General features: G+C 37.1%; 1 protein-coding gene across 13 annotated transcripts in view, besides 2 other annotated features; it reads left to right on the plus strand.

Annotated features, from left to right (window-relative positions):
* Positions 1–26,988, plus strand: part of ADK (adenosine kinase) — a 558,070-nt gene that overhangs the window by 445,105 nt on the left and 85,977 nt on the right. For 7 of the 13 annotated variants that reach the window (NM_006721.4, NM_001202450.2, NM_001123.4 and 4 more), the window contains one exon: positions 4,054–4,168. The exons of 4 other annotated variants lie outside the window; for them this stretch is intronic. In NM_006721.4, coding sequence (NP_006712.2) covers positions 4,054–4,168 — 115 coding nt within the window. Of the gene's footprint in view, positions 1–4,053; positions 4,169–5,462; positions 6,593–26,988 lie in introns of those variants that run through there. 2 more of the 13 variants (XM_017015698.2, XM_047424620.1) reach the window with 1 other exon arrangement.
* Positions 11,841–12,688: an enhancer, noted in NCBI's record as "H3K27ac-H3K4me1 hESC enhancer chr10:76367924-76368771 (GRCh37/hg19 assembly coordinates)". NCBI's record gives its function as "activates a minimal SCP1, AML or CMV promoter by ChIP-STARR-seq in primed H9 embryonic stem cells {active_cell/tissue: H9 hESC(primed)}" and the evidence as "EXISTENCE:reporter gene assay evidence [ECO:0000049][PMID:30033119]".
* Positions 12,689–13,535: an enhancer, noted in NCBI's record as "H3K27ac-H3K4me1 hESC enhancer chr10:76368772-76369618 (GRCh37/hg19 assembly coordinates)". NCBI's record gives its function as "activates a minimal SCP1, AML or CMV promoter by ChIP-STARR-seq in primed H9 embryonic stem cells {active_cell/tissue: H9 hESC(primed)}" and the evidence as "EXISTENCE:reporter gene assay evidence [ECO:0000049][PMID:30033119]".

The following is a 26,988-nucleotide window of genomic DNA, read 5'->3' on the forward strand; positions in this document are numbered from 1 at the left end:
GCATATTGTATTAGTACCTACTGCCTAGAGTAGTTCAGATTTAATGAGTACTTTATTTTATTGATTGGTTGATTGATTGTTTTGAGACAGCCTCACTCTGTTGCCCTGACTGAAATGCAATGATACGGTCTCAGCTCACTGCAACCTCTGCCTGCTGGGCTCAAGCAATCTGTAGATTCAATGCAATCCCTATCAAAATTCCAATGTCATTCTCTCTCTCTCTCTCTTTTTTTTTTTTGAGACAGGGTCTGGCTCTGTTGCCCACGCTGGAGTGCAGTGGCGTGATCTCAGCTCCCTGAAACCTCTGTCTCCCAGGCTCAAGCCATCCTCCCACCTCAGCCTCCTAAGTAGCTGGGACTATAGGCGCATGCCACCACACCTAGCAAATTTTTGTATTTTTTTGTAGAGATGAAGTTTTACTACGTTGCCCAGGCTAGTCTCAAACTCCTAGGCTCAAGCGATTCACCCGCCTCCGCCTCCCAGTGTGCTGGGATTACAGGCATGAGCCACCACGCCTTACCTTAATGAATACTTTAGAGCTTTATACATGGCTTTTAGTTTCTTCATCTATAAAATAGGGATAATAATAGTACCTACTGACTAGAGAAGTTAAGATTTAATGAGCACTTTAGAGCTATGTACATGGCTCACAGCTCAATTTTATGAGCTTTCAACTCATACTTCTTACTCCTCCCTGTCTTCATCTTCTTCGTTATAGATACTATAATTGAATGTTCCATATTCAAAACTCTTGAAGCCCTTTCTAGCGATTTTGGGGCAACCTAAGTATGTAACCATTTTAGAGAGTATTAAAATGAGAGTAATTAGAGGAAATAAATTAATATTTAAGTTCTTAGCATGTGCTAAAATTGCATTAAGCTATTTCACTTACCTCATCTTCTTTCATCCTCACAATTTTTAACTTTTTATTTTAAAATAACTTTAGTCTTAGAAAAATTACAAAAATAGTACAGAATTCCCACATACCCTTCACCCAGTTTACCCTAATATTAACATCTTACATAACCAAAGTATAATGAATAACAGAAAATTAACATTAAACTACAATAACTGAACTATATACAGGCTTTATTCTGGTTTCAACCGTTTTTTCTCTAGTTTCCTTTTTCTGTTCCAGAATCGAATCCCACATTGCATATTTGTCATGTCTCCTTAGTCTCTTCTAATCTGTGACAGTTCCTCACTCTTGTTGTTCATGAACTTTATACTTTTGAAAATTATTGGTCAGTCATTTTGTAGAATGTCCTTCCATTTGAGTTTGTCTGATGTTTTCTCATGTACATTGAGATTAGGCATTTTTGGCAGGAAAACCACAGAAGTGATGTTCCTTTCTTGGTGCATCATATCAGGGAGGTACACAGTGTCACAGATTCTTATTGCTGGTGATGCTAAACCTTTATCACTAGGTTTAGGTGGTGTTTGCTAGTTTATCCTCTGTAATTCCCATTGTATTTAATAAATATCTTGGAGGAGATACTACTTTGGGGCTATGGAAACATTCTATTTTATCCACTAATTTTAGCATCACTAAACTAATCTATCTGGCTTAAGGTGATGTCTGTCAATTTTCTCTACTATAACATTATGATTTTTCCTTTTGTAATGAATATCTTAGGGGGACATACTTTGAGACTGTAAATATCCTGTTTTCTTTAATTTTTGCCCACTAATCTTAGCATACTTATCCCTCAAAATCTTTTAATGTGAACATTTTCTTAGTTTTGTAGATGAGGAAATGGATCTTAGAGAGGTTTATTAACTTGCCCCAAATCATACAAATAGTAAATCCAAGCCTGTCATATTCTAAAAGTCCTTGTAATTTCATTGTTTGTTAAGATGTGTGAGCTTAAGTGTAAGGGAGAAGAACCTATTGGGGACAGAGGAGAGGAATTACTGTAGAAGGAGAAATAAAGTTTTACATACATCTGGGAAGAATTATGTTTTGTACTTGGAAAGTTTATTTTGTCCTTTAATTGCCATTTTATGAGGTTTAATTTGAGACATAAGAAACATTTCTTTGATTAAATTACCAAAGCTCTCAACAAAATATGTCTTCTCACAGGGTTGGTAGAAAGCAACCATGGAATCTTATTCCTTTTTTTTTTTTTTTTTTTTTTTTTTTGAGATGGCGTCTTGCTCTGTCACCAGGCTGCAGTGCAGTGGCATGATCTCTGCACACTGCAACCTCTGCCTCCTGGGTTCAAGCGATTCTCCTGCCTCAGCCCTCCCAAGTAGCTAGGACTACAGACACGTGCCACCATGCCCAACTAATTTTTGTATTTTTAGTAAAGACGGGATTTCACCATGTTAGCCAGGATGGTCTTCATCTCTCGACCTCGTGATCTGCCCTCCTCGGCCTCCCAAAGTGCTGGGATTACAGGCGTGAGCCACTATAACCAGCCAGAATCTTATTCTTAATTTATTCCTTATATCACCTTGAAGAAAGACTTTCTTTTAAAGAACATCTAGTACATTCATAAGATTCTGCTTTCAAGATGATGAAGTGAATGTGTTTTTCTCTTATCTTTATTAAATATGAGCTGTACTTAATCACAAGCAAAAATCCTATAGTAGTAAAATATATTTGTGCTAAGGAAATTGCCAAAATATACATGAGTCATTTTAATTATATGTGTACACTTATTTAGGTGAGTGAAGACATTGCATGGCATTTTTTGGTCCTTTCAGCTGTTACTAGTCATTTCTAAAAGTCTGTCTCCTGAAACTGAGGGAATTTCTTCTCATCTTATCAGAGTTCAGACTTAGTTCTGTTCTAAAATAAGCAACCGAAAGCGAAATAGTCAGCATGTTTGAAGTCAGCAGCACTGTCCTACTACAAATGGCTATTCTTTTCAGAAACAACTGTCCTCTAGAAGTCATCCTGTTAGGTATATTAGAAGCTTAGCTTCATATATTATCTGGAATTTATTAAATATTGAGTGAACAAACAATATAAAAATATTTCACCACTAATTGTCATCCCTTTAAAAATGCCAGTTTCTGGTGACGTTTGTAACGATTGCAAACCATTGTGACTTGTCTGCTTTGCTTGCCTAAATGTTCTCTCTCATATATTCTATTTGTTCTCTTATATATACTTTATTTATGCCACTCAGCTATATTTCCGCTCTGATAGGTGTTTCTTTCTCTATAACTATTTGAAACTTTGCATAGTGATAGAATAAACTAGTTTTGTTAGCAAAGCCCAAAACTATGGACAGTTTTAAAAGCCCACTGAATACAGACATGGATTTTCAAATTATCCAAAATGGTTGAAAAGATGATTCTAAAACCTCTGCCTTTAGCTCAAGGTTAGGTTTCAAGATTTCAGAAAACTTCAATAAAGATTTCAGTAAAACTTTATGGCCTATGTGGTGTGAAAAACAGCATCAGAGTTTGACAATTAGTTTGTCATTTTTTAAACTTTATCTTTTTTAAAGAAAATTAAGTCTTTGTAGGAAAGGATTAGCATTTCTTTCTCTCAAATCAGTCCTTTGAAAAATTGACATTATAAGAACTGTATTTTTTCCAAAGTCAGCATAATTATGTTCTGTAAACCTCTAAAATAATTAAATTTTCCTCTTTATAAAAACCTCTCTTTAATTGGGAATTTGAAAACTGCCTGGATATTTGCTGATACTTAGTCATTGTTAATAATTTTTGAAGTATGATAATAGTTTTGTGGTTATGTTTATCATTACCTTTCAAAGATATATACTAAAACATTTATAGATGAAATTATGTATAGTTCTTGGAGTTTACTTTAGAATAATTTGAAAAGCAAGTGGATGAGGATATAGGTGAAATAAGATTCATCATACATTTTAAATTTGTGTAGATCATTGATGGGTTCCTTGGAAGTCACTGTGCTATTCTATTTACTTTTGTATATGGTTAAAGAAATTTTTAATGTCTCTTAATAGATATGCAGGTCTCTTATTTTGATCAATAGAAGCTAAATTGTTAATCTACTAATAAAGTTTTGTTTTATTTTATTGGTCATGAGAATTTTTTCCTTCCTTCTATTAATAGACTAAAGACATTAAAGAGATAGCCAAAAAGACACAAGCCCTGCCAAAGATGAACTCAAAGAGGCAGCGAATCGTGATCTTCACCCAAGGGAGAGATGACACTATAATGGCTACAGGTACATGTGGGAAATGTGTGATGAATCTAGTATTATGGAGATTAATCAATTACAAAAAAAAATTCTGTATTCTTTCTATTATAATATATACAATATACATATACAATATATATAAAATGAAATATTTTATTTTAATAAATATTTCTACCCTGTATCTCAGTAGAAAAGATTTCATGTTCAAGAAGATAGTTTATTAACATTTAGTTAAATAAACCACTTTGATATAATTTATTTACTTAGTTATCTTGGGGATTTTGTCAATCAAGAAATATCTTTCCTGAAAAAAAGAATACATTTCATTTATAAAATACCTGCACTAGAGTAAAATAAATTTACTCAATTATGAACAAATAAAATCCAGAACTAAGTTACATTTTCCATTTTTCCTTCAAGAAGAAAATCTCATTTTTTGTTTTATTTCACCATCTATTTTATAGCACTCATAAAACAGGAATTTCATCTAGTAAGCAAACATGTTATTGATTAAAATGATTAATAGTGTTAATATGGAGCTACCCACTATTAAAAATATAAATGTTTTAATTCTGTCTGTACCATTCAGATTAAAACCAATCAGTTGATTAGTTATTGTAAACTGGAGCAATTTAGTATTACCTATGTGTTTGTTCAGTACTCTGCTGAACACTGAAATATAAAATAGGAACCTTAAAGATCTAACTGGGAATTAATATTCATAAAATATAAGTACAAAGTAAAATATAATTATAGTTCTTATCTATTGGTGCTAACTATATGGATTGTATTGACTCAGGAGATCAGTAAATCTTGAAAAAAGATGTTATAGTGAATATGAAGTACATTTGTGTTGAATTAAATATAAAGCCTGAAATAGGCCAAAGATGAAATTACTGTCAAGATATTTTCTTTCTTTTTTAAAATAAATTTTATTCTTTATATTTGAGGTTTATAACATGATGTTATAGGATACATAGATATATATAGATCAACTTTCTTATTTCAGAATGGTCAAAAGCAAGATTCAGAGATTTGTTTCAAAAAATATTTGCTTCAAAGTAGTTCAGTGAGTGGTAGATAAAGTGAGGGTATAAATGAAATGAGACTGGTAATGAATTAATTGTTGAAGCTAGACAGTGGATATATGGGGGCATCATTATGCTATTATCTCCACTTGTGGATATGTTTTAAATTATCCATAATTAAAACTTTAAAAAAAGAAAGAAAAGTTTTTTTTTTTAAATTTCAAACAAGATTCAGAGATGTTGAGTGGCTTTCCCAAGATACATTGATATCCTTGCTAATCCTTAAATTCTAGGAAGGATTAAAAGAAAGGAGGACAAGTGGGCACAGTGGCTCACACCTGTAACCCTAGCACCTTGGGAAGTCAAGGTGGGAGGATTGCTTGATCCCAGGAGTTGGAGACCAGCCTTGGTAACAGCAAGACTTCATCTCTACAAAAAAAAATGGAAAAAAAAAAAAAATTAGCTGAGAGAGTAGTGGCACATGCCCATAGTCCTGGCTACTTGGGAGGCTGATGCAAGAAGATCACTTGAGCCCAGAAGTTCGAGGCTGTGTTGAGCTATGATCTCTCCACTGCACCCCAGCATGGATGACAGACCAAGACCCTGTCTCCAAAAAAAAAAAAAAAAAAAAAAAAGAACGGAGGGCAATGGAGTCAAAGAGGATCAAGTAAGCAAAGGCACAAGTACTAGCAATCTTTTATTGTGATGGCAAGAAGAACCACCTTGTTAATTTGTACAAGAGAGAAAAGAAACCATGAAAAGATATCCCTGCACTGATACAAACTATCTGAATTGCTTTCTTCCTATAGTATAAGGATTATTCCTGTCTTAGCAGTGGACAGTTTAGAAAAGTGAAAAACATACAGGCTTCTTATAGGAATTGTAGTACTACCTTCAGATTTACAAAATATTCTTTGGTTGCTCTTTGTGGAGACATTCATTTTAAGTCTTTGTATATTCTAGATATACATACTGTACAAGTGTCTTCCTTATTGTGAATTTGCAGTTTTCCCAAAATTGAAAATTAACCTCCCCATTCTGTGACTGTATTTCCTTGTGAACTCATTTTATTCTTTATTAAATCTATTAAGCCATTCTTAGGAATGCTTACAAGCTGGAATTTATTTGAGGAAAGACACTGGCTAATCTTTGCTGTTCCTACCATATGAAAATGAACTTAAATCAAAGGATGCACTATATCTGCAATGCATGATAAATACAAGATGGATAGAGAATCTGTTCAGTGGTGTCAGCTACAAAAGCAAACATGATAAATGTTAATGCAGTTTTGAGCCCTGGGATAAGCTATTCAGTGCACAAGTGTAGCTGAATCTCTTTGCTATGTTGTTATTCATTGCAGCCAAATAAATGTCAATAATAAAAGAGAATTAAAGATTTTCATTTCCCAGAGGCAGTCCTCTAATACGGCTTGATCTTTCATTTCATTTGTAATTCGTTCTCATGTCAGGATGCAATCATTCGCCAGGCTCTGGGTGTCATGTTAAGCCATTTAATAATGATTAAGAACATAAAAATGCTTGGCCTGTGGGGCAATTCACAAAAGAGATGCCAATTTGTTATTGTTTTCCCTCCTTTCCTCTTGAATATGGATCAGCTTTTTCCCACCTCCTAGCATTAAAATACTAATGGAAGATAGGGAGGGAAAGTGTCCCTTAATTTACCATAAGTGACATTCCAGAATGGCACAAGGCAGTGCTAACACACATATTAAAAGACTAATTAGGAATCATTGTGCCTTAAACCTATTTTTTTTTAATGATACTTTAAGTTCTGGGATACATGTCCAGAATGTGCATGTTTGTTACATAGTTATACACATGCCATGGTGGTTTCCTGCACCTATCAACCCATCATCTACATTAGGCATTTCTCCTAATGCTATCCCTCCCTGAGCTCCCCCACCCCCCGACAGGCCCTGGTGTGTGATGTTGCCCTCCTTGTGTCCGTGTGTTCTCATTGTTCAATTCCCACTTATGAGTGAGAACATGCAGTGTTTGGTTTTCTGTTCCTGTGTTAGTTTGCTGAGAATGATGGTTTCCAGCTTCATCCATGTCCCTGCAAAGGACGTGAATTCATCCTTGTTATGGCTGCATAGTATTCCATGGTGTATATGTGCCACATTTTCTTTAGCCAGTCTATCATTGATGGGCATTTGGGTTGACTTTGCTATTGTGAATAGTGCTGCAATAAACATATGTGTGTATGTGTCTTTATAGTAGAATGATTTATAATCCTTTGGGTATATACCCAGTAATGAGATTGCTGGATCAAATGGTATTTCCTGTTCTAGATCCTTGAGGAATCGCCACACTGTTTTCCACAATGGTTGAACTAATTTACACTTCCACCAACAGTGTAAAAGCATTCCTGTTCCTCCACATCCTCACCAGCATTTGTTGTTTTATGACTTTTTAATGATCACCATTCTAACTGACATGAGATGGTATCTCATTGTGGTTTTGATTTGCATTTCTCTAATGACCAGGGATGATGAGCTTTTTTTCATGTGTTTGTTGGCCGCATAAATATCTCCTTTTGAGAAGTGTCTGTTCATATCCTTTGCCCACTTTTTGATGTGGTTGTTTGTTCGTTTTTTGTAAATTTGTTTAAGTTCTTTGTAGATTCTGGATATTAGCCCTTTGTCAGATGGACAGATTGCAAAAATTTTCTCCCATTCTGTAGGTTGCCCGTTCACTCTGATGATAGTTTCATTTGCTGTGCAGAAGCTCTTTAGTTTAATTGGATCCCATTTGTCAGTTTTGACTTTTGTTCCCATTACTTTTGGTGTTTTAGTCATGAAGTCTTTGCCCATGCCTATGTCCTGAATGGTATTACCTAGGTTTTCTTCTAGGGTTTTTATGGTTTTATGTTTTATGTTTTAAGTCTTTAATCCATCTTGAGTTAATTTTTGTATAAGGTGTAAGGAAGGGGTCCAGTTTCAGTTTTCTCTATATGGCTAGTCAGTTTTCCCAGCACCATTTATTAAATAGGGATTCTTTTCCCCCATTGCTTGTTTTTTGTCAGATTTGTCAAAGATCAGATCGTTGTAGATGTGTGGCATTATTTCTGAGGCCTCTGTTCTGTTCCATTGATCTATATATCTGTTTTCATACCAGTACCATGCTGTTTTGGTTACTGTAGGCTTATAGTATAGTTTGAAGTCAGGTTAGCATGATGCCTCCAGCTTTGTTCTTTTTGCTTAGGATTGTCTTGGCTATACGGGCTCTTTTTTGGTTCCATATGAAATTTAATTTTCTCTAATTCTGTGAAGAAAGTCAATGGTAGCTTGATGGGGAAAGCATTGAATCTGTAAATTACTTTGGGTAGTATGACCATTTTCACGATATTCTTCCTATCCGTGAGCATGGAATGGTTTTCCATTTGTTTGTGTCCTCTCTTATTTCCTTGAGCAATGGTTTGTAGTTCTTGAAGAGGTCCTTCACATCCCTTGTAAGTTGTATTCCTAGGTATTTTATTCTCTTTGTAGCAATTGTGAATGAGAGTTCACTCATGATTTGGCTCTCTGTTTGTCTATTATTGGTGTATAGGAATGCTTGTGATTTTTGCACATTGATTTTGTATCCTGAGACTTTGCTGAAGTTGCTTATCAGCTTAAGGAGATTTTGGGCTGAGATGCTGGGGTTTTCTAAATATACAGTCATGTCATCTGCAGACAGAGACAATTTGACTTCCTCTCTTCCTATTTGAATACCCTTTATTTCTTTCTCTTGCCTGATTGCCCTGGTCAGAACTTCCAATACCATGTTGAATAGGAGTGGCGAGAGAGTGCATCCTTGTCTTGTGCCGGTTTTCAAAGGCAATCCTTCCAGCTTTTGCCCATTCAGCGTGATATTGGCTGTGGGTTTGTCATAAATAGTTCGTATTATTTTAAGATATGTTCCATCAATACCTAGTTTTTTGAGAGTTTTTAGCATGACGGAGTGTTGAATTTTATCGAAGGCCTTTTCTGCATCTATTGAGGTAATCATGTGGCTTTTGTTATTGGTTCTGTTTATGTGATGGATTACGTTTCTTAATTTGCGTATGTTGAACCAGCCTTGCATCCCAGGGATGAAGCCGACTTGATCATGATAGATAAGCTTTTTGATGTGCTTCTGGATTCAGTTTGCCAGAATTTTATTGAGGACTTTTGCATCAATGTTCATCAGGGATATTGGCCTGAAATTTTCTTTTTTTGTTGTCTCTGCCAGGTTTTGCTGTCAGGATGATGCTGGCCTCATAAAATAAATTAGAGAGGAGTCCCTCTTTTTCTATTGTTTGGAATAGTTTCAGAAGGAATAGTACCAGCTCCTCTTTGTACCTCTGATAGAATTCAGTTGTGAATCCGTCTGCTCCTGGGCTTTTTTTGGTTGATAGGCTATTAATTACTGCCTCAATTTCAGAACTTGTTATTGGTCTATTTAGGGATTCAACTTCTTCCTGGTTTAGTCTTGGGAGGGTGTATGTGTCCAGTAATGTATCCATTTCTTCTAGATTTTCTAGTTTATTTGTGTAGAGATGTTTATAATATCCACTGATGGTAGTTTATATTTCTGTGGGATCAGTGGTGATCTCCCCTTTATCATTTTTTATTGTGTCTATTTGATTCTTCTCTCTTTTCTTCTTTATTAGTCTAGCTAGCAGTCTATCTATTTTGTTAATCTTTGCAAAAAACCAGCTCCTGGATTCATTGATTTTTGGAAGGGTTTTTTGTGTCTAACTCCTTCACCTCTGCTCTGATCTTAGTTATTTCTTGCCTTCTGCTAGCTTTTGAATGTGTTTGCTCTTGCTTCTCTAGTTCTTTTAATTGTGATGTTAGGATGTCGATTTTAGATCTTTCCCGCTTTCTCCTGTGGGCATTTAGTGCTATAAATGTCCTTCTTAACACTGCTTTAGCTGTGTCCCAGAGATTCGTTGGGTCTCTGTTCTCATTGGTTTTAAAGAACTTATTTATTTCTGCCTTAATTTCATTATTTACCCAGTAGTCATTCAGGAGCAGATTGTTCAGTTTCCATGCAGTTGTGTGGTTCTGAGTGAGTTTCTTAGTCCTGAGTTCTAATGTGATTGCACTGTGGTCTGAGAGACTGTTTGTTATGATTTCCATTATTTTGCATGTGCTGAGGAGTGTTTTACTTCCAATTATGTGGTCAATTTTAGAATAAGCGTGATGTGGTGCTGAGAAGAATGTATATTCTGTTGATTTGGGGTGGAGAGTTCTGTAGATGTCTATTAGGTCTGCTTGGCCAGAGCTGAGTTCAAGTCCTGAATATCGTTGTTAATTTTTGGTCTCGTTGATCTAATATTGACAGTGGGGTGTTAAAATCTCCCACTATTATTGTGTGGGAGTCTAGGTCTCTTTGTAGGTCTCTAAGAACTTGCTTTATGAATCTGGGTGCTCCTGTATTGGGTGCATATATATTTAGGATAGTTAGCTCTTCTTGTTGAATTGATCCCTTTACCATTATGTAATGCCCTTGTTTGTCTTTTTTGATCTTTGTTGGTTTAAAGTCTGTTTTATCGGAGACTAGGATTACAACCCCTGCTTTTTTTTTGCTTTCCACTTGCTTTGTAAATATTCCTCCATCCCTTTATTTTGAACCTACGTGTGTCTTTGCACATGAGATGAGTCTCCTGAATATAGCACACCAATGGGCCTTGACTCTTTATCCAATTCCCCAGTCTGTGTTTTTCAATTGGGGCATTTAGCCCATTTACATTTAAGGTTAATATATTATGCATGAATTTGATCCTGTCATTATGATGCTAGCTGGTTATTTTGCCCGTTAGTTGATGTGGTTTCTTCATAGTCTTGATGGTCTTTACAATTTGGTATGTTTTTGCAGTGGCTGGTACCAGTTTTTCCTTTCCATATTTAGTGCTTCCTTCAGGAGCTCTTGTAAGGCAGGCCTGGTGGTGACAAAATCTCTCAGCATTTGCTTGTCTTTAAAGGATTTTATTTCTCCTTTGCTTATGAAGCTTAGTGTGGCTGGATATGAAATTCTGGGTTCAAAATTCTTTTCTTTAAGAATGTTGAATGTTGGTCCTCACTCTCTTCTGGCTTATAGGGTTTCTGCAGAGAGATCAGCTGTTAGTCTGATGGGCTTCCCTTTGTGGGTAACCCAACCTTTCTCTCTGGCTGCCCTTAATACTTTTTCCTTCATTTCAACCTTGGTGAATCTGACAATTATGTGTTTTGGGGTTGCTCTTCTCAAGGAGTATCTTTGTGGTGTTCTCTGTATTTCCTGAATTTGAATGTTGGCCTGTCTTGCTAGATTGGGGAAGCTTTCTTGGATAATATTCTGAAGAGTGTTTTCCAACTTGGTTCCATTCTCCCCATCACTTTCAGGTACACCAATCAAATGTAGGTTTGGTCTTTTCATATAGTCCCATATTTCTTGGAGGTTTGTTAGTTCCTTTCCATTCTTTTTTCTCTAATCTTGTCATGATGCTTTATTTCATTAAGTTGATCTTCAATCTCTGATATCCTTTCTTCTGCTTGATCAATTTGGTTATTATATTTGTGTATGCTTCACGAAGTGTTCGTTCTGTGTTTTTCAGCTCTATCAGGTCATTTATGTTCTTCTCTAAACTGGTTATTCTAGTTAGCAATTCCTCTAACCTTTTTTCAAGGTTCTTAGCTTCCTTGCATTGGGTTAGAACATGGTCCTTTAGCTCGGCGGAATTTGTTATTACCCACCTTCTGAAGCCTACTTCTGTCAATTTGTCAAACTAGTTCTCTGTGCAGTTTTGTTCCCTTGCTGGTGAGGAGTTGTGATCCTTTGGAGGAGAAGAGGCATTCTGGTTTCTGGAATTTTCAGCCTTTTTGCACTGGTTTTTCCTTATCTTCGTGGATTTATCTACCTTTGGTCTTTGATGCTGGTGACCTTCGGATGGGGTTTTTGTGTGGACATCCTTTTTGTTGATGTTGGTGCTATTCCTTTCTGTTTGTTAGTTTTCCTTCTAACAGATGCCTCTGCTGCAGGTCTGCTGGAGTTTTCTGGAGGTCCACTCCAGACCCTGTTTGCCTGGGTATCACCAGCAGAGGCTGCAGAACAGCAAAGATTACTGCCTGTTCCTTCCTCTGGAAGCTTTGTCCCAGAGGGGCACCCGCCAGATGCCAGCTGGAGCTCTCCTGTATGAGGGGTCTGTCGACCCTTGCTGGGAGGCATCTCCCAGTCAGGAGGCATGGGGGTCAGGGACCCAGAGGCAATCTGTCTGTTAGGAGAGCTCGAGCACTGTGCTGGGAGATTTGCTGCTCTCTTCAGAGCTGGTAGGCAGGAAAGTTTAAGTGCCGAAGCTGTGCCCACAGCTGTTCCTTCCCCCAGGTGCTCTGTCCCAGAGAGATGGGAGTTTTATCTATAAGCCCCTGACTGGGGCTGCTGCCTTTCTTTCATAGATGCCCTGCCCAGAGAGGAGGAATCTAGAGAGGCGGTCTGGCTACAGTGGCTTTTCCAAGCTGCAGTGGGCTCCACCCAGTTCAAACTTTTTTTGCGAACTTTGTTTGCATCTTTGTTTACACTGTTAGGGGAAAACCGCCTACTCAAGCCTCGGTAATGGCAGTCGCCCCTTCCCCCACCAAGCTTGAGCATCCCAGGTCGACTTCAGACTGCTGTGCTGGCAGCGAGAATTTCAAGCCAGTGGATCTTAGCTTGCTGGGCTCCGTCGGGGCAGGATCCGCTGAGCTAGACCACTTGGCTCCCTGGCTTTATCCCCCTTTCCAGGGGAGTGAACAGTTCTGTCTCGCTGGCGTTCCACACGCCACTGTGGTATGAACAAAAACTCCTGCAGCTAGCTTGGTGTCTGCCCAAACAGCAGCCCAGTTTTGTGCTTGAAACCCAGGGCCCTGGTGGTGTAGGTACCCGAAGAAATCTCCTGGTCTGCGAGTTGTGAAGACCATGGGAAAAGTGTAGTTATCTGGGCTGGAGTGCACCATTTCTCATGGCACAGTCCCTCATGGCTTCCCTTGACTAGGGGAGGGAGTTCTCGACCCCTTGCACTTCCCCGGTAAGGTGACGCCCCACCCTGCTTCCGCTCGCCCTTTGTGGGCTGCACCCACTGTCTAATCAGTCCCAATGAGATGAGCCAGGACTCTCAGTTGGAAATGTAGAAATTACCCGCCTTCTGCGTTGATCTCGCTGGGAGGTGCAGACCGGAGCTGTTCCTATTCAGCCATCTTGCCAGCCACCCAAACCTATTTTTAAATGATCACACTGTTAAGTTTGCAGTACTTAGCAATAATGTATCAAAATGTTTCCTTGGAGTTTTATTCTACAGACCTATCTCCTTTTGAGATATGATATACATAAACTACTTTGTCTTATTTTATAAATTTAATTCTTTAAATTGCCTGTAAATCTAAAGTATTTTCCGCTCACCCTGTTTTATGGGTCATACCTCTTTCAGATTGAGTTTCCATCTACCCTAGAGGTTCTGTCACATACCAATCATTGTTTCAGTCCTTGCAGGTTAATTGAGTTTCAAAAAAATTTTCAAGGGAGTGCTGGGCACTGAAGAATATTAAGAGTAACAGGCTGGGCAATTCCACAGCAGAGTATATGTCCAAAATAATTGAAGCAGGAACCTAAACAGATATATGCCCACCCATCTTCATAGCAGCATTATTCACAATAACCAAAAGGTAGAAGCAATCAAAGTGTCCATCAGCAGATGAACAGATAAATAAAATGTGATATATACATACAAAGGAATATTATTCAGCTTTAAAAAAGAAGGAAATCCTAACATGCACTACAACATGGATGAACCTTGAAGACATTATGCTAAGTGAAATAAGCCAGTCACAATGGGATAATTACTGTGTGATTCCATTTATGTGACATACCTAGAGTAGTTAGCTTTATAGACAAAGTAGAATGATGTTAGCCAGGGGCTGGGGGAGGGCTGAATGGAAAGTTATTGTTTAATTGGTAAAAAGTTTCAGTTTTGCAGGATGAAAAAGTTGTAAAGATGGGTAGTGATAATTGCACAATAATATGAATGTACAATGGCACTGAGCTGTATATTCAACAATGCTTAAAATGTTACATTTTATGTATATTTTTATTTTTTAAGCATATTTTTCAATTTAAAAAAAATTAAACATAACCTAAAGAGTAAGATGCTGGGGGTGAAGGCAGAAAAGATGACTGTCCATTTTGATCCTCTTTATAAATGTTGAATGAATCTGTTGAATAACATGGCAGTAAGGTGAAGGAAATCATTTCTGTGTTTATAAACTGGAAAAACTAACAGTGTTCTTTACCTGTTGGAGAGCAACTACTAATGAGATCTTCATACAATAAAACCTTATTATATTAAGCATGGTAGTAAAAAAGTAAATATATATATGTATGTAAATACATATATAGTGCTTTATAGAAAGTTTAAACTTCCCCAAGTTTCTATACTAAATAAATCACCAAAAATTGGAGAAAGCAATACAACTTTTGTTCTGAATTGGAAATAATGTGTTTCCAATTAAATAGGTCCACTGAAAAATAAACTGTAGATTTTTCTGTTTCGTTTGTTTTAAGACCAGGCCTCGCTCTGTCACCCAAGCTGGAGTACAATGACACAATCATGGCTCACTGCAACCTCAACCGGGCTCAAGCGATCCTCCCTTCCCAGCCTCCTAAGTAGCCGGGACTACAGGTGCCTACCACCCTGCCCAGCTAATTTTTTTGTATTTTTTCTTTGGTGGAGACTGGATTTTGCCATATTGCCCATGCTAGTCTCAAACTCCTGAGCTCAAGTAATCTGCCTTCCTAGGCCTCCCTCCTAAAATGCTAGGATTACGGGTGTGAGCCACCACACCTGGCCTAAATTGTAGACTTTTCTGAACACTCAGAATTCTTATTTGAATTGTAATTTTTCACAAAGGGAGAAAATATATTAAGTCAGATGTTTTCAACTGGAAGACTGGTGCTATCACATCAAAATCACCTAGTGAGTTTTTGGTAAATACAGTCCTACCTTTTTTTTTTTTTTTTAATTTTAGAATTGGGGGAGGGTGTGATACTTTTTCAGGGTTGTTACATGGATATATTACATAAGGCTGGGGTTTGGGCTTCTATTGAACCCATCACCCAAACAGTGAATATAATACCCAATAGGTAGTTTTTCAACTCACCCCCACCCACTTCCTGCCTCCCCCTTTATGTCCATGTATACCCATTGTTTACCTCCCACTTATAAGTGAGATTGTGGAGCATATGGTTTTCTGTTTCTGGGTTAATTCACTTTGGATAATGTCCTCTGGCTGCATCTATGCTGCTGCAAAGGACATTATTTCCTTCTTTGTTATGGCTGCATAGTATTACATGGTGTATATGTACCACACTTTCTTTATCCAATCCGCTGTTGATGGACACTTAGGTTGATTCCATGACTTTGCCATTATGAATAGTGCTGTAATAAACATAAGAATGCAGGTATCTTTTTGATAGAACAATTTCTTTTACTTTGGGTAGATACCCAGTAGTGGGGTTGTTGGATTGAATGGTAATCCTGTTTTTAGTTCTTTGAGAAAGTTCCAAACTGCTTTCCACAGGGGCCAAACTAACTTACATTCCCACCAACAGTATGTGTTTCCTTTTCTCTGTATCCTCGCCAATGTGTAATTTTTTTACTTTTTAATAATAGCTGTGCTAACTAGTATTATGATATCTCATTGTGGTTTTAATTTGCATTTCTCTGATTATTAGTGATGTGGAACATTTTTCATATGTTTGTTGGCTGCTTGTATGTTCCCATTTTTAAAAATTGTATTGATTTATTTGTATTTTATAGAGAAAGTGTCTTGCTATGTTGCTCAGGCTGGTCTCATACTTCCTGAGGCTCAAGCAGTTCTCCTGCCTCAGCCTTCCAAAGTGCTGAGATTACAGACATGAGTCACCATGCCTAGCTGTATGTCTTATTTTGAGAAGCATTTGTTCATGTCCCTTGCCTACTTTTTAATGGAGTAATTTGGGTTTTTCTTGTTAATTTGTTTAGGTTCCTTATAGATTCTGGATATTAGTCCTTTATTGGTTGCATAGTTAGCAAATATTTTCTCCTAATCTGTAGGCTGTCTGTTTATTTTGTTGATAGTTACTTTTGTTGTGCAGAAACTCTTTAGTTAAGTTACAATGGTCAATTTTTATTTTTGTTGCATTTGCTTTTGAGGTCTTAGTCATAAATTCTTTGCCTAGGCCTATGTGCAGAATAGTTTCTCCTAGGTTTTTTCTAGGATTTTTATAGTTTGAGGTTTTATGTGTAAGTCTTTAATCTATCTTGAGTTAATTTTTGTATATGGTGAGAGGTAGGGGTCCAATTTCATTATTCTGCATATGGCTAGCCAGTTTTCCCAATATCATTTATTGAATTGAGTGTCCTTTCATCACTATTTATTTTTGTTGACTTTGTTTAAGATCAGTTGGTTGTAGGTTTGTGGGTTTACTTCTGGGTTCTCTATTTTGTTCCATTGATCTATGTGTCTATTTTTGTGCCAATACCATTGCTATTTTGGTTACTATACCCTAGTAGTATAGTTTGAAGTCAGGTAATGTGATGCTTCTGGCTTCGTTTTTTGCTTAGGATTGCTTTGGCTATTCAGCTACCCTGCCTTCTTAAAAGCACCTTTCTTTCAATCTGATACAACCCTGTGAGGAGTATTAGAAAATACAACTTCAAGGAGATGTTTGAGAATGCGGGCAGTACAGTCTGGGGCAAGGGGAGTGTAGGATTATGTATGGTTGAAAATGTTCCCTTTGGTGATATAGCAATGCTGTCTATCCTCCACCTGTCACTTTGAGAATCACTGGATTAGGTGATTTAATAATGCTGCAAGTTCCGTAATCTGCTGGAAAAACGAAAACAGAACTTTTTAACAGCTAAGGGTCTAGTTCTTCAATAACTCAGGCCTTGGGAAATGCTTCTTTTTTCGATCCTTCAAAATCCATCCACACTTACAGGCAATCTACAGTTTACTTTAAATAGTCTCCTACTTTTGAGGTGCTTATAATTTAACATAGTTACATCCCAATGCCCTTTGTCATTTTATTTTAAGTAAATGGGGTTATTGACGTTACTTGTCTTCATGTTCCTGAGTCCTTAAAGAAACGTGTTACCTCATCTGCTAGTTAAGTTTTCATGTTCTATGAAAACACTCAATGCTGCCCATTACTCTGTAAGAAAAGGTCAGTGTGATTTGCAATTCTGGTAGACGTAAAGTTCAGAAAATGTGCGTTAGAAAATGCAAACTCTAAAGGAAAACAATCTCAGCATTGGAAGAATAATGTCAGCACATGATCCCAACTCAAAATATTAATATAAATCATTTTGAAAATGTCTCTACTACAGCCAAATCAATTTTAAATGATAACCTTGTTGGCTTAGATTGGTGATGGTAAAGATAGAATAAACTAAGTGGCATTCTTTTAAAATGTCTTGTATGGCATTCATAGAAAAAAGTTCTTACCAGGTAAGATCTTAGAGAAAATATATTTCTCACCTATGAATGTAAGTTACTAAGTTATTAGCTCATGGTCCATTTTTAGATTATTGTAATCACAAAAGATAAACTCCTTTAATTAATTGGTCAAAAATAATTTAGAATAACATGTGGACCTGTCACATTTTTGACAAAGTAGTATCTTTGGGATGTGGTTCATTTAGTTCAGTGATCTCAAGCCTGAAGAAATGAGACTTCTTTCAACTCCCACCTTTTTATTGAAAAGGATCCTGCTAGAAGGCAAAATAAGAGGCAACCTATCCTAAGCAGATATAAGCCCTATTATAGCACTGATTTCTGGAGGGATGTTTAAGTCAGATTTGTTGAGATATAGATTACATATAGTAAAATCCACAAATATGTTACTAAATAACATGTAACAACCACCACAGACTATAGACCACCTTGTACAGTTTGTATTGAAGTATAATGTGCATACAAAATTGATACAACTTTTCATTAAGTGGATGGACCTGTGTAGCTATAACCAGATCAGGAAATACAATACTTATAGCACTTAAGAAGCTTCTCCTTGTGCCCCCTCCTAATCTTTATCCCCACTGAAGGTAACCATTGTCTTAGCTTCTACTACTGACAGTTAGCTTTGCCTGTTTTTGAAATGGAACCACTCAGTATGTAGACTTTTGTCTGCTCTATCTCCATCCATTTTTGTGCACTTTCTTACTTTTTGACAACATAAGATCCCCCGGGCTCACGTTGTATTTTCTCCACTTCAGTCCTATAATCAACTATTTCTCCAAGGAACCCTGGTTCCCTTTATTGAAGAATGGTTTTTAGAAACCTGTAACTGTGCTCTAGATATGCTCTTTGTTCCTTGAGTGTCTTTGCTTCTAGGCCCTCTTAGCAAACAGAACTTGGCAATATATGTATGTATAATAACCTATGTATACTCACTCATCTATATTTATTTCTGTATCTATATGTTTATATATTTTTAAAACATGAAGTCATACTGATAAATTTTATTTCAGTCCAGCAGCACAAGGCTCATTCTAGCCTTCATTCTTCCTTTTGTACAACTTCTTCCTTTGACATTGAAAATTCTGGCTCTCATTATCTAAAATGTATTTACTTATTTGTTTTATCCTAAAGTAGTTTTGAATTGCTTGCCCATACCCTTGTATGAGAAAGAGATTTACCCTTTAGAGTATAATATTTGCTTACAGTTCTTTTTTTCTGTAGCCCAATAGTGTCCAGTCAATATATAGTTATCCAAAGTAAATTAGCTCTTTTATTTCATCCACTCATTATGGTTACATTATTCATTTGTAATACAGGTAGGGTCACTTGTTAAGAGTATTCCATTTTGGTTTCTTTTCACATCCTGATTGGGGTTTTATTTTCTCAATAAAATTCACTTTTTGTAGTGTCAAGTTCTGTGGGTTTTGACAAACACATAAGATCATGTAACCACCACCATAGTTATGATACCAAAGAGTTACATTTTTCAGCTCCGGATTTGCAAGGATGGTACCAATATAAACTCCCCCAATTTTATGAGACGGCACTAATTGTTCCACATCTCTACCAATATTTGCTACTATCCATCTTTTTAATTTTAGCCATTCTGGTGAGTATGTAATAGACCTCATAATGATTTTGATTGGAATTTTTCTGATGTGTAGTGAGATGGAGCTCCTTTTCATCTGCTTACTGGTATTTGTTTTTTTGTGTGTAGTTTTGTTTTGTTTTGTTTTTTTGAGATGGAGCCTCACTCTGTCGCCCAGGCTGGAGTGCAGTGGCGGGATCTCGGCTCACTGCAATCTCCACCTCCTGGGTTCAAGCGATTCCCTTGCCTCAGCCTCCCTAGTAGTTGGGACTACAGGTGCCCACCATCACGCCTGGCTCATTTTTTTATTTTTAGTAGTGACGGGGTTTCACCATGTTGGCCAGGCTGGTCTTGAACTCCTGACCTCAAGTGATCCACCTGCCTCGGCCTCCCAAAGTGCTGGGGTTACAGGCGTGAGCCATCGTGCCTGGCCTTGCTTACTGGCATTTGGATATCATCTTTGATTGTATTGTTGTTGGGTTCTTTTGCCCATATTGAGTTGTCTTATTGATTTAGAAATCTTTTTACAGCCTGTATGCCAGTCTTTTGTTAGATAAATGTATTGTAGATATCTCCTGCTACTCTGTGGCTTGCCTTTTCACTCTCTTCATGGTATCTTTTGATAAACAAAAGTTCTTGATTTTAATATAGGGCAATTCATAATGTTTTCCCCTTATGATTAATGCTTCTTATATTCCATTAAAGAAAATCATGGCAGATCTCAAACTTGTGAAGATACTCTTCTGTTGTTTTTTTCTAAAACTTCTATTCTTTTACTTTTTTCAACTAGCACAATTCATCTAAGATTAATTTATATATATATATAAGGTGTAGGATAGGGAGAATGATTCATTTATTTTGCCCATATGAATAACCAATTGACCTGGCATCATTCATTGACAGGAATATCCTTTCCCTAACTGCATTACATTGACACCTTTGTCATGTTTCAGATGACCTTATATGGGTGAGTCTTTTTTTAGGCTATTTCATTGTCCTCATTCTCTATCCTTTACCAATTGCACACTCTCATGATAACTTAGGTTTATAATCAGTCTTTTTATCTGGCAATGTCAGTCTTCTGAGTTTGTTCTTCAAGATTATCCTGGCTTTTCTTGGCTCTTTGCATTTCTACTTAAATTCTAGAACTGGCCTGTTAATTGTCACCAAAGGAATTTTTTAAAAATTCCTTACTAGAGTTTTTTCAGATTATATTGAATCTGCAAGTCAATTTGGAGAAAACTTATTTCTTTACAGTATTTTGTCTTCCAATCCATATTTTCCTCTATTTATGCAGTCTTTAATTTTTCTCAGGATGTTTTTTTCTTTTCAGTGTAAAGGTCTTGTATATGTATCTTTTGTAAGATTCTTAGGTTTTCGATGCTATCTATTTTTAAATGGCATCCTTTTAGGTTTCTGTTTCTATTTGTTTTTTACTGGTATATAGATTTCTAAATAATGATCTTTTTCACATATTAACTGCAATAACATATCAGATAATTATTTTGGATTTTCTATGCATATAATTATACCATCTGTGAATAAAAATAATTTGCATTTCTGCTTTTCCAATTCTCATACAGTACTTTTTTTCTTACTACACTAGTTAGCACGGTAAGACATGTAGAATACAAGTAAATTGAAATGGTTATAGTGAGCACCTTTGTCTTATTCCCGATATCAGTTGAAAAACCATCAATATTTTATCAAAAAGGATAATGTTTGCTATAGTCTCTTTGTAGATACTCTATCAGATAAAGGAAATTTCTTTCCATTAATAGTTTGCTAAGAGTTTTTGTTTTGTTCTTAAGAGATTTTTTAAAAATCATGAATAGTTGTTGTATTTCATCAGATAATGTTTTTGCATGTAAAATTACTATATGATTTTTTCCCTTTTTTCTTTTAATGTGTGAATTACAGATTGATTATGGAAAGATATTTCACCTTTGCATTCTTGGAATAATGCCAACATTGACATATCTTTTTAATGTCTTATTGGATTTGATGTGATGTTATTTTGTTTTCTGTTTGTTTTTTTGAGAGAGGGTCTCGTCTTGTCACCCAGGCTGGAGTGCAGTGGTGCTCTCCAGGCTCACTGCAGCCTCCACCTCCTGGGCTCAAGCAGTCCTCCCACTTCAGCCTCCCAAGTAGCTAGGATTACAGGCACGTACCACCACGCTAATTTTTTAAATTTTTTGAAGAGACGAGGTCTCACTGTCTTGCCCAGACTGATCTTGAACTCCTGGGCTCAAGCAATTCACCCACCTTGGGCTCCCATAGTGCGGGGATTACAGGTGTGAGCCACCATGCCAGCCTTGCTTTATGTATTTTAAAGCTATCTTAACTAAGTGTATATAAATTTATAATTCTCACGTCTTCCTGATGCATTGAACCTTTTACCTTATGAAATGTCCTTCTTAATCTCTAATGATGCATCTTGCCTTAATATCTATGCCAGCTTTCTATTGGTTAGTGTTTACATGATATCTTTTTTCATTCCTTTATTTTCAACCTTTCTGTGTTCTTATATGACTTTTGTTGTTTTTTAATTAATTCTGACAATCTTCATATTTTAATCAGCCTGTTTATATTTAATATAAGTTACTAATGTATTTGTGTTCATATCTTACATCTTACTCTTTTTGTTCTGTCTTACATGTGTATCTTCTTTTTTCTCTCCTTTCCTGCTGTTTTTGGATTGATCAAGTATTTTTTTCTTTTTCTTCTCATTTAGCTTCTCGGTCTTGCCCTGTTGCCCAGACTGGAGTGCAGTGGTGTGATCTCAGCTCACTGCAGCCTCCACCTTCCAGTTTCAAGTAATTCTCATGCCTCAGCCTCCTGAGTAGCTGGGATTACAGGCATGCGCCATCATACCCAGCTAGTTTTTGTGTTTTTATTAGAGACAGTTTTGCCATGTTGGCCAGGCTGGTCACTAACTCCTGACTTCAAGTGATCCGCCCGCCTCGGCCTCCCAAAGTGCTGGGATTACAGGAGTGAGCCATCGTGCCCAGCCTGAATTCTCAGTTTTTGTTTGTCTGAAAGTTTCCTTTTGCCTTTCAATGTGTATAGTTCTCTATGTTGGGAGTTATACTTTTTGAGTTCTTTATAAATGGCTTTCCATTATCTTTTGGATTCTCTTATTTTTGTTGAGAAGTCAGCTGTTACTCTTATTCTGCTCTTTTATATATAATATTTTTATTTTCTCTAGCTGCTTTTTAGAATTTGTCAAACTTTAACTTTATCCTTAGTTCTGGTTTTCCTTTTATTTATCCTGCTGGGATTTTTAGTGCTTCTTGAATCTGTGATTGATGACTTTCATCAGATTTGGAAAATTCTCAGCCATTATCTCTTTAGATACTAGAACTGTTTATACTTGGGAATCTAGTTATACATATACTAGGTCTTTTCATTGTATCCCATATGCCTTTTATGCTCTTTGTGTGTGTGTGTGTGTGTGTGTGTGTGTGTGTGTGTGTGTGTGTGTTTTACCCCTTTTCCTCCCCGAGCTTCAGGCTGTATATTTTGCACTGACCTGGCATTTAGTTCCCTGATTCTCTCTTCTGCTTTGTCCCATCTGCATTTCAAAACATCCAGTGAGGCTGGGTCCAGTGGCTCATGCCTGTAATCCCAGCACTTTGGGAGGCCAAGGCAGGCAGATCACTTGAGGCCAGGAGTTCAAGACCAGCCTGGCCAACATGGTGAAACCCTGACTCTACCAAAAATAGAAAAATTACCTGGGCATGGTGGCAGGTGCCTGTACTCCCAGCTACTTGGGAGACTGAGGCAGGAGAATTGCTTGAACCCAGGAGGCAGAGGTTGCAGTGAGCCAAGATCGCACCACTGCACACGAGCCTGGGAGACAGAGCAAGTCTCTGTCTCAAAAAAAAAAAAAATCTAGTGGATGCTTTATTTCAATAGTCCCTTTTTTATTTTCTAAAGTATCTGATTATTTCTTATTCATCCTAGTTCTGTAGTATAATCCTCTACCTTGTCATCTATTTTTTTCTAACATATTAATCATAGTAGTAATAAATTCTGTGTCTGAAAACTACAATATCTCAGTCATTTGTAGGTCTGGTTTTTAAAGATTTTTTTTAATTTCCACATAATAATTGCAAATATTTATGGGGTACATAGTGATGGGTTTGGTGTTTTAAGAGAGGGTCTTGCTCTGTCACCGAGGCCAGAAGGCCAGAGTGCAGTGGCGTGATCACAGCTCACTGCAACCCGTATCTTGCAGGCTCAAGAGATTTTCCCAACTCGGCCTCCTGAGTAGCTGGGACTACAGGCACATGCCACCACACCTGGCTAATTTTTTTTATTTTTATTAGAGATGAGGTCTCGCTGTGTTGCCCAGGCTGGTCTCAAACTCCTGAGCTTAAACGATCCTCTCACCTTGGCCTCTCAAATTGCTGGGATTATGGGCGTGAGCCACAACACCCTGCCCATCGTGATGTTTTGATACATATAATGTATGGTGATCAGAGCAGAGCAATTAGCATATCCATCATCTCAAACATTTATCATTTCTTTGTATTGTGAACATTCAATATCCTCCTTCTCACTATTTGAAACTATGTAATATATTATTGTTAACTGTAGTTATCCTACATTGCTGTAGAACACTAGAATTTATTCCTCCTATCTAGCTCTAATTTTGTATACTTTTAAAAATCTCTCCCTATTGCCTCCTCCTTCTTACCCTTCCCAGCCTCTAATATCCTCTGTTCTACTTTTTACTTCTGTGAGATCAACTTTTTTTAGCTTCCACGTACGAGTGAGAATACATAGTGTTTAACTTTGTGTTCCTGGCTTATTTCATGTAACATAATGTCTTACAGTTCCATCCATGTTATGGTGAATGACAGGATTTCATTCTTCTTTATAGATAAGTAGTATTCGATCATGTATATATACCACACTTTCTTTATCCATTTATCTGTTGTTGGACATTTGGGTTGATTTCATGTCTTGGCTATAGTGAATAATGCTGTAGTAAACATGGGGGTGCAAATGTCTCTTTAACGTACTAATTTCCTTTCCTTTGGAGAAATACCCAATAGTGGGATTGCTGGATCATATGGTAGTTCTGTTTGTTTCTTTTCTCTGCATCCTCACCAGCATCTGCTTTTTTTTTCTCTTTTTAATGATAGCCATTCTTACTGGAGTGAGATGATACCTCACTGGTTTTGATTTGCATTTTCCTGATGATTAGTGATAATGAGCTTTTTTCCCATTTTTTTGGCCATTTATATATCTTCTTTTGAGAAATGCCTGTTCAGGTCATTTGCCCTTTTTTAAAACAGAGTAGAGTTTTTTGTTTTTATTTGTTTGTTTGTTTTTTTACTGTTGAGATGTTTAAGTTCCTTGTATATTCTGGATATTAATTCCCTATCTGATTAGATGAGTAAGTTGTATGTATTTTTTTCTATTCCATAGGTTATCTTTTCACTCTGTTGATTGTTTCCTTTGCTATACAGAAGCTTTTCAGTTTGACATAATCCCATTTGTTTATTTTTGCTTTTGTTGCCTGTGCTTATAAAAGGTTGTACTCATAAAACATTTTCCCAGACCAATGTCTTGAAGTGTTTCCCTTATGTTTCCTTCTAGTAGTTTTATTGTTTTGGGTCTTACATTTAATCCATTTTGAGTTGATTTTTACAGAGGGTGAGAGCTAGGAGTCTAGTTCCATTCTTATGCATATGACTAGATGCATATTTAGTTTTCCCAGCATCATTTATTGAAGAAACTGTGCTTTCTCCAGTGACTATTCTTGGTGCTTTTGTCAAAAATCAGTTGACTGTAGATACGTGGATTAATTTCTGAGTTCTCTATTCTGTTCCATTGGTCTTTGTGTCTGTTTTTATGCCAATAACATGCTGTTTTGGTTACTATAGCTTTGTCATATATTTTGAAGTCTGATAGTATGATACCTCCAGCTTTGTTCTTCTTGCTCAGGATGTTTTTTACCATTTAGGGTCTTTTCTGATTCCACAGAAATTTTAGAATATTTTTTCTATTTCTGTGAAGAATGTCATTCGTATTTTGATAAGGGTTGTATTGAATTGGCGGATCACTTTGGGTAGTATATAGGTCTGTTTTTTTGTTTTTGTTCGGTTTGGTTTCTATTTCCTTTTGGGGCTTGTTTCTTGGTTTGCCTGATAATTTTTTATCAAATGTTAAACATTGTCCATAATAAATTATAGAGCTTCTGTTAGTGTAGAGTCCAATTAGATCTAGGACTAAGCCACCTCAAGGTTGGGTTATAGTTTTTGTAAGACCCAGTCTACCTCTCATTTGCTTCCACTTCTATACCATGGCCCTCCTGGAATCTCAGCTGAAATCCTGGTGTTTTTATGAGATCCCTACTCATTAATGGGTTCTGAACTCCAAATTTTATCTGTTTTGTGTACCATACAACTAGCACAATCACCACTCTGCCTTATGGATGCCTTATACTTGGTGTCTTGGCCTCTTGTCCTGCTTCCTGACAAGTGTGGCAAATACCTTGAGTAGAGTATTTCCTCTCCTGAGTTTCAGGCCTACTTTATTGTTTTCCCCTCCTCTTCAGGATCATGACCCTCAGTTCTGTCTGTCTTGACAGTCCCAAACTCGAATTTTTGTCTTACCACCCACTAGAGATTGCAAAAAGTTATGTTGGCTTCTCTGCCTCTTAGTAGTAGTCCATTGCCCAGATTCTCAGCCTCTTACCCGACACAGGAATTTGCAAATACCCTAGGGAGAAAACGACTTTTTGAATGTCAGTTTAGCTCTTTAAGATCCTCTTCTCTCTGAGACCTTCTCTTGTCAAATTTTGACTACCTTGTCAGCTCTCTCATCCCTTCTTTATTTAAAAAAAAAAATTAAGCTTTTCTGCCTTTTTATGGTCTGGGAATTGGTTTACTACAAGCTATGGCATTAGAGCCTAACCAATAGGTCCCTTATTGAATACATTTTTTTATTATTAAATAGAAAAATACATAGCCCGAGAAAGTTAAGTGGGCTTATCTGTGTATTAAGGAATACTGTTTTTAGGAATGTGACTTAGGAATACTGTTCTTCATACCGCACTTTGGGAACTGCTGGATTAGGTCACTTTCCCAAGGTCTCAGAATTAGAAACAAAAGCAGCTAGATTAGAACCCAGCCTCGGCCTGGTGCGGTGGCTCATGCCTGTAATCCTAGCACTTTGGGAGGCCAAGGCGGGAGGGTCACCTAAGGTCGGGAATTCAAGACCAGCCTGACCAACCTGGAGAAACCCTGTCTCTACTAAAAATACAAAATAAGCCAGGTGTGGTGGTGCATGCCTGTAATCCCAGCTACTCGGGAGGCTGAGGCAGGAGAATCGTTAGAACCCGGGAGGCGGAGGTTGCGGTGAGCCGAGATCACACTATTGCACTCTAGCCTGGACAACAAGAGTGAAACTCCGTCTCAAAAACAAAAAACAAAAAACAAAAAAAGAACCCGGCTTCTTGAATCCCAGACTAGTCCAATCTGTTCCATACCATGTTAACTCATTGGCTTACATCTGTGGTTTTCAACCAGAAACAACTTTCCCCCTTCCTTTCAGTTATGACAACTGGCTGGTATGGAAGAGTTGGGTCTTCCACTGGCATTTTGTGGGTAAAAGCCAGGGATGCTGCTATATATACTATAATGCACAAGACAGCCAATCCACAATAAAGAATTATCTGGCCCAAATTATTAATTGCCTCAAGATTAGAAAAGCCCTGTCTTAC

This window comes from Homo sapiens, chromosome 10 (genome assembly GCF_000001405.40).
Source record: "Homo sapiens chromosome 10, GRCh38.p14 Primary Assembly".
Lineage (NCBI taxonomy): Eukaryota > Metazoa > Chordata > Mammalia > Primates > Hominidae > Homo > Homo sapiens.